Source organism: Homo sapiens, chromosome 8, assembly GCF_000001405.40.
Source record: "Homo sapiens chromosome 8, GRCh38.p14 Primary Assembly".
In the NCBI taxonomy this organism is placed as follows: Eukaryota; Metazoa; Chordata; class Mammalia; order Primates; family Hominidae; genus Homo; species Homo sapiens.
The window spans coordinates 140,732,858-140,744,868 of record NC_000008.11 but is presented as its reverse complement, the minus strand read 5'-3'; the positions used below and the strand labels follow the sequence as shown (position 1 = coordinate 140,744,868).

At 39.8% G+C, this 12,011-nt stretch overlaps 1 protein-coding gene across 172 annotated transcripts in view; it reads left to right on the top strand.

The window, feature by feature from the left end:
* PTK2 (protein tyrosine kinase 2) overlaps positions 1–12,011 on the top strand; it is a 344,180-nt gene that overhangs the window by 257,211 nt on the left and 74,958 nt on the right. For all 172 annotated transcript variants that reach the window (NR_148039.2, NR_148038.2, NR_148036.2 and 169 more), the window contains 4 exons: positions 102–217; positions 1,539–1,639; positions 5,762–5,851; positions 9,414–9,618. Coding sequence is in view for 165 of the 172 variants with exons in the window: in NM_001352699.2 (NP_001339628.1) it covers positions 102–217; positions 1,539–1,639; positions 5,762–5,851; positions 9,414–9,618 (512 nt within the window). In the remaining 7 variants the exon portion in view is untranslated. The remainder of the gene's footprint in view (positions 1–101; positions 218–1,538; positions 1,640–5,761; positions 5,852–9,413; positions 9,619–12,011) is intronic.

The window sequence follows — 12,011 nt, the reverse complement described above, 5'->3', positions numbered from 1 at the left end:
AAAACAGCATTATTGTTGAATGTAGCTTTTTTGCTTTTGATTTCGATTCACTGCCACTAATTCTTTTTTTTTTTTTTTTCTTTTGGTCATTGTTCCAAAAGCTGAGGTCATTTTTGCAAGTAAGGAAATACAGTTTGGATCTAGCATCTTTGATCCTGTATGCCTATCAGCTTAGTACAGCTCTTGCATATCTAGAGAGCAAAAGATTTGTACACAGGTAAGATACAGTCATAAAGCTGTTAAGTTCCCTTCTGAAAAGTAGTGATCAAGAAACAGGGACCCATTTGGACCGTCTTTGGACCCTTTTGGATCCAGGGTCCCCTTTGGTACAGTTTTGTACCAATTCTACAAAATTGTATTCTGTATACCATTGGAATCTATTGTACACAGTTAATAGCAAGTCATGCTGCATTATGTCCTATCAGAGTGAGATGCCATGGCTTGTTAATACACATTTACAGGATTTTTACACACGTGGAGTTTAAAACATTGTGATACTTTCAGGTCACTTATTCCCTACACAAACACTATAGAGAACCTGTACTTGGCAGCAGAGCAGTGAACATGTGGAAGTGGTCTCTAAAACAAATATTGTCCTGGAACTCTCCAGGACAACACAACCTTATGAGTGACATCTGTTGGCATTCTGTGGAATTTCTGTTTATAGCCTGAGTCTCTGTTTGAATGCAAGTAAAGACCCTTAAAATTTGTTTGCCAAGTATCATATTAGAATTGGTGTTTTTGTTATCCGGCATTAATACAAACTTCATCCAAAAAAAAAAAAAAGAAATAGGCCGGGCGCGGTGGCTCATAGCTGTAGTCCCAGCACTTTGGGAGGCCGAAGCGGGCAGATCACAAGATCAGGAGATCGAGAACATCCTGGCTAACATGGTGAAACACCATCTCTACTAAAAATACAAAAAATTAGCTGGGCATGGTGGCGGGCGCCTGTAGTCCCAGCTACTCGGGAGGCTGAGGCAGGAGAATGGTGTGAACCCAGGAGGCGGAGCTTGCAGTAAGCCGAGATCGTGCCACTGCCCTCCAGCCTGGGCAACAGAGCGAGACTCTGTCTCAAAAAAAAAAAAAAAGAAAAGAAAAACTAAGCATCTAAAAAAATAAGCTGCATCAGCAAAATCATTTACAAGTTTTCAGAAGGCAACTTTTATTTAATGATATCTCTTTAGTAATGGCAGTGTTATAGGCCCCAGTTGTATATCACTGTCAGTTAATGCCGTTGGTAGTATGGTTTTATGAACAGTAATAAGGATTTTCATTATTTTAGAATGTACTTTGCCATCATTCAGAATAATCATTGTATTAATGGGTAAATATCTGGCAAAAAGAATATATATGAAGTAAATTTTGTGTGTGTGTATATATGAGATTTATTATATATATCCTATAATAAATATCATATAATCTGCTCGCATTGTATATAAGCTGTCTTTCAAAGTGCCTATTGGTATGTCTTTATATATGAGCTTGTATGTTTGTTTTTCTTATTTTAAGTCTTATTGTCTCAAATTCTTCTTTATCAGGGACATTGCTGCTCGGAATGTTCTGGTGTCCTCAAATGATTGTGTAAAATTAGGAGACTTTGGATTATCCCGATATATGGAAGATAGTACTTACTACAAAGGTAAGAAATCAGAGTAGTACCTAAGAAATAGGCTTGGAATCTTTAACGTATTTCTAAAAACAGTATGTTCTAATATGCTCACCTGATCTTTGACAGAGATATAAAATCAACTAAATGGAGGAAGCGACAGCCTTCTCAGCAATGGTGCTGGAGCAGTTGGACATCCTTAGGCAAAAAATAGACCTCAGTTTAAACCTCTGAATTCCATTTCAGATTAACTCAGAATGGATTATAGACTGCATTACAAAATAATAAATTTTTAGAAAAAAACACGAGTAAATATTTAGCATCTAGGGCTAGGCCAGGGATCCTTAGACTTGACACCAGAAACAAGGATTCATAAAAGGAAAAAGTTGATAAACTGAACCTGATAAAAATTATAAATTTTTGTTCTGCCAAAGACCCTGTTAAAAGGATGAAAAGAGAAGCTACAGAGTAGAAGATTCGTGCCAGCCACACGTATCTGACAAAGCTATTATCTAGAATATAAAAGGAACTCTTAAAACTTAGTAAAAATGACACAAAGAATGCACTTAGAAATGGGCAAAAAAATAGGAAGAGACATTTCATTGAAGAGGATATATGGATTGCACATAAGCATGTGAAGATGCAGATGTTCCACATCTGTGTCCATTAGGAAAATGCAAATTAAGAACACAATGGGATTACAGTACATACCTGTCAGTTGTTAAAATAAAGAATATGCTGGCAAAGATGCAGAGAAACTAAATTGCTGCTGGGAATGTAAAATGGTAGAGGCATTCTGGAAGAAAGTTTGGCAAATTCTTTAAAAATTAAGCATACAAGTGTTATATGACCCAGGAGTTGCACGTCTGGACATTTCTTCTGAAGAAACGAAAACTTGTACACAAAACCATACTCAAATGTTCATTGCAGTTGTATTTGTAATAGCCAGAAATTCAAATCAGCTCCAATGTCTTTCAATCAGTAGACACACCATCATCTTACACCAGATGCGGCTGGTTGTATTGATTGCCTCAGTGAAGGGGATCTGACTGAAAAATATGCAGGCTGCTAACTCCAGCACCTTGGATCTATTAGTTTGGTGGGATTTTTGTTTGTTTGCTTGTTTTGAGACAAGGTCTCACATTGTCACTCAGGCTGGAGTGCAGTGGCGCAAACATGGCTCATTACAGTCTCGACCTCCTGAGCTCAAGCATTCCACCCACCTTAGCCTCCCAAATTGCTGGTACTACGGGCGTGCGCCACCATGCCTGGCTAATTTTTTGTAGAGATGGAGTTTTGCCGTGTTGCCTAGGCTGGTCTTTGATCAAACTCCTGGGCTGAAGCTATTCTCCTGCCTCCGCCTCACAAAGTGCTGGGATTTCAGGCATGAACCATCATGTCCAGCCTCCATTAGTTTTTTTAACTGAAATCTAGCTCATGTCAGTTGTGTTTAATTTTGCCAATCTTGGAATCACATTGAATTGGTTCTTCAAATTGTTACTGAACTAATATTTTACTGAATAATGTTTTCATATTCCTAGAACTTTAGCTAAGGTTTAGATAAATCCATATTGTGCTATTAATACTACTAATTATGACTACCATTTTACAAAGGCCAGTTTCTTTCTTAGGGTATTTGATTTTTATATGGCAACAAAATGAGCCCAGATTTTTACAAGCAAAGCTAGTCTGTTATTTTAATCTTATAACTATTCTCTTTCCATATGTCTTCTGTATATTATTGCCTGTCACTATTTTATTTTTTAAATTCATTTTTAATTTTTATTTATTATTATTATTTTTTTTTTGAGACAGAGTCTCACTCTGTCGCCCAGGCTGGAGTGCAGTGGCGCTATCTGGGCTCACTGCAAGCTCCACCTCCCAAGTTCACGCCATTCTCCTGCCGCAGCCTCCTGAGTAGCTGGGACTACAGGTGCCCACCACCACGCCCGGCTAATTTTTTGTATTTTTAGTAGAGATGGAGTTTCACTGTGTGTGTTAGCCAGGATGGTCTCAATCTCCTGACCTCATGATCCGCCCACCTCAGCCTCCCAAAGTGCTGGGATTACAGGCGTCAGCCACTGCGCCTGGCCTAATTTTTTAAATTAAAACATTTTTTAAGACAGGGTCTCGTTCTGTCGTCCAGGCTGGAGTGCAGTGGCATGAGCACAAGTCACTGCAGCCTCAACCTCCTGGGCTCAAGTCATCCTCCTGCCTCAGCCTCCTGAGTAGCTGGGACCACAGGCACACACCACCATGCCCAGCTAATTTTTTGATTTTTTTGTAGAGATGAGATCTCACTTTGTTGCCTAGATTGGTCTTGAACTCATGGGCTCAAGCGATCTTCCCACCTTGGCCTCCCAAAGTGCTGGGATTACAGGCATGAGCCACTGTGCCCAGCTACCTGTCACTATTTTTAAATGATCCTTTGATATATGAAAAGAAAATCAATTGTTTATTCATTTTAATTGTTTAGTCATTTAACTTTAAAAAGACGAAGTCAACTTTTCATTATTTCTAAATACATTTTATATCCAGCTTCAATCTTAACTGTCCCAAGTCCTAGAATTCCAATAAAGAGCTAAATTCCAAGTAGTATGATGTCCAAATTTTCATATCATTTGAACAACATTTTAAACAGGCAGTTGACAAATTCACACAGATATCTTCTCAGAAAGGTTAATAAGTGTACATTCCATTAGGCTATAGAAATAAGTACAAACTCCAAAAGGTTAGAGATTCTTCAAAATGCTCCTCTTTCTAGGAATTCTGATAGTCTTCAGAGGCAACTCATTGCTTACAGAAGAAAGTCCAGACCCTTGACATGCTGGCAGAGCCCAGCCGCTCATGCTCCATGCTCTTCTGAATCAGGGTGCTGTTCCTGTGCCCTGCTTCCTTGACCAACCCCTTCTCCTCTTATATCCTCTCCCTGCAGCCTTCCCTGGTCATCCTCTCAGTCATTAGTTCCTCTCTACTTTCAGGACACTTGGCATGTATTCACTATCTGTGTTACACCTTGTACCAAATTTGAGTATACTTCTGTCTGCCTTTTAGAATGAGCATTCCTTGAAAAAAAGGACTCGGGATTGTTCATCTTGAGAACTCAGCAGTTGAGGAAATGTTTACTAAGGTTTTGAGTGGTTTGCCTTTGTGGCACAAAGAAAACGTTTAGGCCTGAAAAGGGAGCTGATTTCAGGCTTCCCTAGAGAAGTCCTTCTTATCCCATTGCCCCTTCCTGCTCTTCACATGCCTGATTATTTGTGTAGTCTGCGCTGATGCATTCACCTAGTGGCTAACATGTTTGTAATTCCCAAAATCAATACTCAAGGTGCTTTCATAGTCATTTGAGGACATGCACAAAGCAACAAAAAAATTGAGTATTCCCTAATACCCACATATGCAGCTGAGGTTCAGCAAGGCCGCAGTCTCTCCCTCCTGTCGCAGCCAGAGGAGGGAAGACAGGGTCAGGGCTGGGAGGGGACGGCACAGGGCAGAGCCAGCAGCTCAGGCTCTGGTGGTTGGAGAGGTTTGAATCCCAACTCTGGCACCTGTTAGTGGGGCAGCCTTGGGCAAGTCACTTAACACATCTGAGCCTCCTTTTCTAAAGGAAATGGAACCTATCAGAATGAGTTGTTTTATGAGTGAAGATTGTAATCTATGTGAGATACGAATATATGTGTACATATTTCTCCTGAGAGCAGGGGTTCTGTGTTTGCAACAACTTTATATAACATAACTACCACCAGTGAGGATCGACTATATATTATTTATTATTAGCAGGACATGTGTATAGCGAGCATTCTAACCTACAGATAAGGATCTCTTCTGTAAATTGTGAAATCTTATATACCAGAGCTGCACCTAATACCTGCACCTAAACCCCTGGTAAACCGAGGTTTGCTCTCCCTCCCTGTTCTTTGCCTCTCTATAGAGGGAAGGACATTGGTATTTTATTTATCTACCATCTAACCATTCCTCACCCCTAAGTGACCTCGAAACACCAAGGAAATGAAAAGTAGTTCTCCCAAATAAATGGAAGCCTCAAGGGTTCAAATAGTTAAAGCTTTTTCCTTTGATACTGAAAATCTCAGCTAGCTCTGTTAGATTCTTAAGCAGATAACAAGGAAAATTTATTTTCTAAAATTAATCTTCTAGCTTCCAAAGGAAAATTGCCTATTAAATGGATGGCTCCAGAGTCAATCAATTTTCGACGTTTTACCTCAGCTAGTGACGTATGGATGTTTGGTGAGTACTCTTAAAAGTTTTGTATTCTTTAAAAATTATATTTCATATGTTATACAAAAAAAAATTATCTCTTTTTGGAATATGTAGGTTGATTTGCCTTCCCTAACCTGATCATCTCCTCATCAGACTTCTTTTGATTCATTTGACAGTAAATAGCCTGACATCTACTGTGCATCAGCTTCTGGGCACAGCTTCTGTAAGGGTCCACAGTTCTAATTGCCCAGCTCCTTCCATCACTCTTCCTTTTTGTTCCCCTTTGCTGTCTCTTCTTTCCTCACAGGGGGATATTTTGCTTATTTCCTTCTTTCTTTTCTCTCTCTCCCTTTGCCATCTCATTCGTTCCTTTCATATGAATGACATTAAACAGTAAACACTTGGCCCCTCCAACCCGGAAGTATCTAAAATTCTACCTTGTCTCTTTATTCTGGAGTCCAGCCTCCTTCCTGACCTATCTCAAGACTTGGAAGTTTGATCCTTTGTCTTCTGTAGCTTCTGCTTTTTTGATAATCTCATTTGTTCCTCCTCACCTGCTGCAAGGTCATCATTCTCCTGCTCTATGGTTATTGCAGTTCCTTCTAGCTGGTGTAGAAGTGTGGCTCTCATTTATTCTTTGCTACTTATTTAAACTACTTTATCCAAATTTTTAAATTACTCACTATTTTTAACATGAATGGCACTTCCCTCCACTCTACTCTCCATTTTTCTTGGTGTTATTCCTTCTACCCAGAATACCTTATCCTGATACCTTCTTCTTCCAGTTGAAATCCTACCTAACCCTCAAGGTCCACCTTAAATGTCCTTGAAGGCTTCTTCCTTTCTTTACCTTTCCTACACTTTCTCTCTTTGTCATACCACTCATGTTGATCCTGTGAATAGACTTGTGGACATGTTATCTCTGCTACATTAGAAACTACTTTGGAGGAGATGCCCTGTTAAGATTATGTACCTTTTTTCTCCTATAAATAAAAATAACTTGATCCAGTATGTGTTCTTATTTTTTTCTTCTGTTTACTTACTGTTGATTCTTAATTATCATTTAATGCCCCCATAGATAACTAGGTAAAGGAAAGAACTTTCAAATAGAACAGGATATGGCATGACATGATTAGAAAAAGCTCTGAAGTCCAGTTGATGTGTGTTCAAATCCCAAGGCCTTGATTATTATCTGTGTGATCCACAGAGCAAGTAACTTATCCTTTCAGAGAAATTTCATGTTTCAAAACTTCTAAGATGCCTATTTTTTTACATGTTAACATTTCTGGAACTGGAGTGTATCTTAAAATCAGTGGCATTTTACAGTTGGTAATAATTGGAAGCATTATTTTAATGTAGTTGTCCTTGCTTTCCACTCAAGTAGAGTTTGTTTTGTTAATATTGTTGTTACTGTAATGTCTGAATGACTTTAAAAGAACTCTTTTGGTAAGAATAAAATAAAAATTCTAAGAGGGAAGAAAGAATTGTATCATACTTTAGTTTTCAACATTCTCCTCCCTTTTTTGGTCTTATAAACTAATAAAGTTTCCTAGAATCAGTAGATGTGATTTTTGTCAAATGTGGTAAAATGCAGTGTTTAAAGAAACATAAGGTTACTGTGAGGATTAAGGGTAATATATGAGACTGGGCACGGTGGCTCATGCCTGTAATGCTAGTACTTTGGGAGGCCAAGGAGGGAGGATCACTTCAATCCAGGAGTTCAAGACCAGCCTGGACAACTTAGCAAGACCCCATCTCTACAAAAAATACAAAAATTAGCTGGTTTGGGTGGCGCATGCCGATAGTTTCAGCTACTCAGGAGGCTGAGGTGGGAGGATCACTTGAGCCTGGGTAGTGGAGGCTGCAATGAGCTGTGATGGAGGCTTTGTCTCAAAAATATATATATTTGTAAAATTTCTAAGAAGTGTGCCAGGAACACATTAAGTTCTCAAGAAATTATATCCAGTGTTGCTACTACTGATAATATTGTTGTAACTTCTGGTGAGAAAAGCAGCACTAAGGCATTTTTTTTGTCAGATACTCTTTACTTTGAAATTCTTGGATTCTTGGCTAAGTTCAGAATCTAATTCACATCAAGATGATAATATGCTTTGCTTCTTTTGAGGCAGATTTCATTCTAGGTTCTAAAGATGCAAAAATAAAGTCACAGTTCCTTTCTTCAAGTCATCAATTGTACATTGTTTTGTGATAGAAGTAGACTTGAAATGACAAAAACTTTTCCCAGAGGAAAAGCATTATAAAGAACTACATTACAAATGTACCTACAAAGAAGAGAGCTTGTGAGGAAGGTAAAGGGATGTTTTTGGCGTGTTCCACAGGTAGCAAGAAGCCCAGAATAGCCAGGCGCAGAGCAGTGATGATAAGGCACTAGGAGAAAACATCCATCCTTTACGCCACCAGTTCTTTCCATTTCCTTTACATTGCATTATATGTTCATTGCCAGTTTTAGGTTTCTTGTTTGTTTTAAAGGTGAATTTTTAAATTTTTTTTTTTTTTGAATTTTAGATTCAGAGGGTCCATGTGCAGGTTTGTTACATGGATATATTGCACAGTCCTGAGGTTTGGGCTTCAGTTGAACCTATCACCCAAATAGTGAACATAGTACCCAATGGGTACTTTTTCAACCATTACCCACCTCCTTCCCTCCCTGCTGTTTTATTCCCTGCTGTCTGTTGTTCCCATCTTCATGTCCATATGTATCCAGGGTTTAGATCCCACTTACAAGTGAGAACATGCAGTGTTTGGCTTTCTGTTTCTGCATTAATGCACTTTGGATAAATGGCTTTCAGTTGTTTCCACGGTGCTGCCAAGGACATGATTTCATTCTTTTATGCCTGCATAGTATTCCGTGGCATATATGTACTACATTTTCTTTATCCCATCTTAAAGGTGAATTTTTAAGGATTATTCAGAAGATACTAAGAAAGTATTGGATTTCCCAAGGGTAGAGTGCAAGTAAACTTTTTGAGGTCACACTGTGGCATTTATAGACAAGACGACTTGAAGCCCAAAGAAGTTCCACATCTTTCCTGGGGGAAAACAGTGACCAGTCCATGAATAAACCAGATAATGGTGCCTTTATGCACTCTAGACAAGAAGAGGCCAACCTTGTTAAGGGAAGCATTTTAAGGAATCTGAGTTTTCCAAAAGCGTAAGACTTATCCTAGGATTTTCTTTATTGGACCTCAGGTCAGCTGCTCTAATTATAAATAGATGAGACCAAAGTGGGGCGGATTAAAATTCAGCATTTTTTGAACTACTGCATTAAGCCACGAAGTACCACTGTAGCTAGTGGGTGATTTTCTAATAGAGGATTTCTAGAGAAAAAATAAACCTCTGAGAAAAATTACAGCATTTTTCTTGATAATAATTTAACATTTCATTATTTACATCATGTTAAATCGTTAGGTTATTTTATACTAGAGTTAATATAATGCTGCTTTGGTAGATAATTTGCCCATTACCTCCCAGCTGGTACTCGAGTGCCTAGAAGAACAATGTTCCTGGAACCTGGGAGTTACATTCTTCATACTGAGCTCACTGTTGTGTTTTCATTCCCACTTGACAGGTGTGTGTATGTGGGAGATACTGATGCATGGTGTGAAGCCTTTTCAAGGAGTGAAGAACAATGATGTAATCGGTCGAATTGAAAATGGGGAAAGATTACCAATGCCTCCAAATTGTCCTCCTACCCTCTACAGCCTTATGACGAAATGCTGGGCCTATGACCCCAGCAGGCGGCCCAGGTTTACTGAACTTAAAGCTCAGCTCAGGTAGGAGTTGGCGGGAGAGAGGGCCTGGGGGTGGGGGCAGATTATGCTGCTTCTCCTCCTTGCAGTAATAGCATTTTAAGGTCATTATATCAGTATGTCTAAGGCCGAACTATTTTTCGTTCAAATGCAATTACTTTTAAAATTGATTTGCATTTCTTTGTACCTTGCTAGAGTCTTAAGTAAATTATATCTTTAAAATTTTAATAAAGCTCCAATTATGGTCAAATCTCTCTCCCCTAGCTTCTGACTTAGCATGGCTTACAAGACCCGTAATAACTTAGTCCCGGCTTTCCTCACTAATCTCATCTAACACAACCCTCCATCTCTGTCTCCCTCACACTTTGTGATCCAGCAATACCTACTTATAATTCTCCTAACACAGCTCACTGCGTTTTCACATGCTGTCTTCACTCCCAGAAATCCCTTTCCTGACCTTTGCCACCTATAAACTTTTATTCAGTTTTCAGAACCCAGCTCAGATGTTACCTGCTTCAGGAAGGCTTCCTAATCAACCCTGCCCCGAAAGAGAGAATTACTCCTTTGCCACCTTTTGAATACTTCTGTTTTTATATTTAAAACATCCATTGCTTGTTCAGGTGCCATTTTGTGGCTACTACTTTGTGCCAGGTACTGTTAAACCCCTGGAGGAAGCACGCAGGGACATTAGTGTGCTGAATCCCTCAGAGAAGCATGTGCATACTCTACCCTGTTGCCTGGCCTGGAGAGGTTCTTGTTCGCTTGTGCATGTCCCCAGCTACACTCAGAGCTCTTGACGGGCATCATTGTGTCTTACTGATTTCTGTAGCCCCAATGCCAAGCTTAGAACCTGGCACCATATAAGTGCTCAATAAACATTTGTTGAATTGAATTGAATTGGAGTCTAGAATGAGACTTAATACTGTAATAAACAAGATACTGTAATATAACACATAGGCATGAGAAGCTTTATTATATAAACAATACCATGGTTCAGTGTGTGCTGTGTCACCTGTTTTCACACTTGGGGACTTCCTCCATTTTATGTGAGTTTTTATGGGTTTGTTTTTCATGCTGTATTTTAGTCTTTTTCCTAAAAATCATCAACTGCAGGGTCCAGGCCTTTCACCATCTAGCCCAGCCTTCTCACCACATGTTCAAGCTGTTCAACCTGCTAGACAGGATTCCTTTTAAGGAGAGTATTTCAAAGAAGAATTAAGACCTATAGGTAGAAGCACAAAGGATTCATCCAGTCTGAAAATGTTTGCTAAGCACCTTTGTTATTCTAAGCTAGGTTCTGTGGGTCCAACAGTGAACAAGACCCAATCCCTGCCCCCAGAGAGTTTAAAGTCTGGTGGAGGAGACCGAGGTATCACTGGTTATTACAATACAGTGAGCCCCACATTGGAAAGACCAGCCACGCTCTTGGTCTCCGTCCCCATAACTCTCACACACCGGCCTGGTTCTACTTTTCAAGGCCCCATAGAACAACCCTACTCTGCCTTTCACACGATAGGCCTTCAGGGTAATTCTAAACAGCTTCCTTACCTCCTCTTAGTTTCTTCAAGCCAAAAATCTTCAGTTCCTTAATTAATTCTCATATAACTTAACTGCCTATTCTCTCACCTTTACAGCTGGCTTTTGGACATGCTTTATTGCATGTTGTTTTGCTCCTATTTGTTCCTCCTTGATCTTTCCTCAGGATTTGACAGATTCTGTCCTTGGCATTGTTCCTCTCTGATACCAGTTCTATCACCCCACCTCCCTGGCATCTCTTTCTACCTCATTGACTTGCCATCTCTCCACCTTTACCATGAATATTAACCAAATTTCTGTTTTCAGCCTCTTATTTTCTCCCATTTTCTCTCATTACTCTTCCCAGGATGTCTGACCCATTCACATGGCTTTGCTGCTTACCTCTGTCTGTCTATAGTTCTGGTCCTGCCCTTTTCTCAAGTCCCAAACCTACATTTTAAATTGCTGGCTGGGCATCATGTTTATCCAGAAAGCAAGCTGTTACATTCTCTTCTATGCCAGCCCTTCCTCCTCACTTCCTCCAGGTTGGAATAGTGCCTTTATCTTCGGCACCATCTTGGAGTCATGCTTCACTCCTTGTGCCTGCCCCCCACCCTCCATCCCACGCTCTTTTCCCATCTGTCTGGCATGACCAGCTTAGTCAATCTTCCTGAAATGTCACTGGAAAAATAACTCCCCTGGTCAAAACAACTTTCAGTGGGGTTTTGTCACCTTTTATGTTTGGGTAAAGGCTTCCACAGTAACATTTAGGCCTCATTTCATTATGGCCTGAGATTGTCTTCTCATCCCTTTCACACACAGTAGCTAAACTAACCCTCCTGTCAGCCCAGAATGCCTCCTTCTTCATTTGGGGAGATCTTACCCATCTTTCTCGGCTTCTT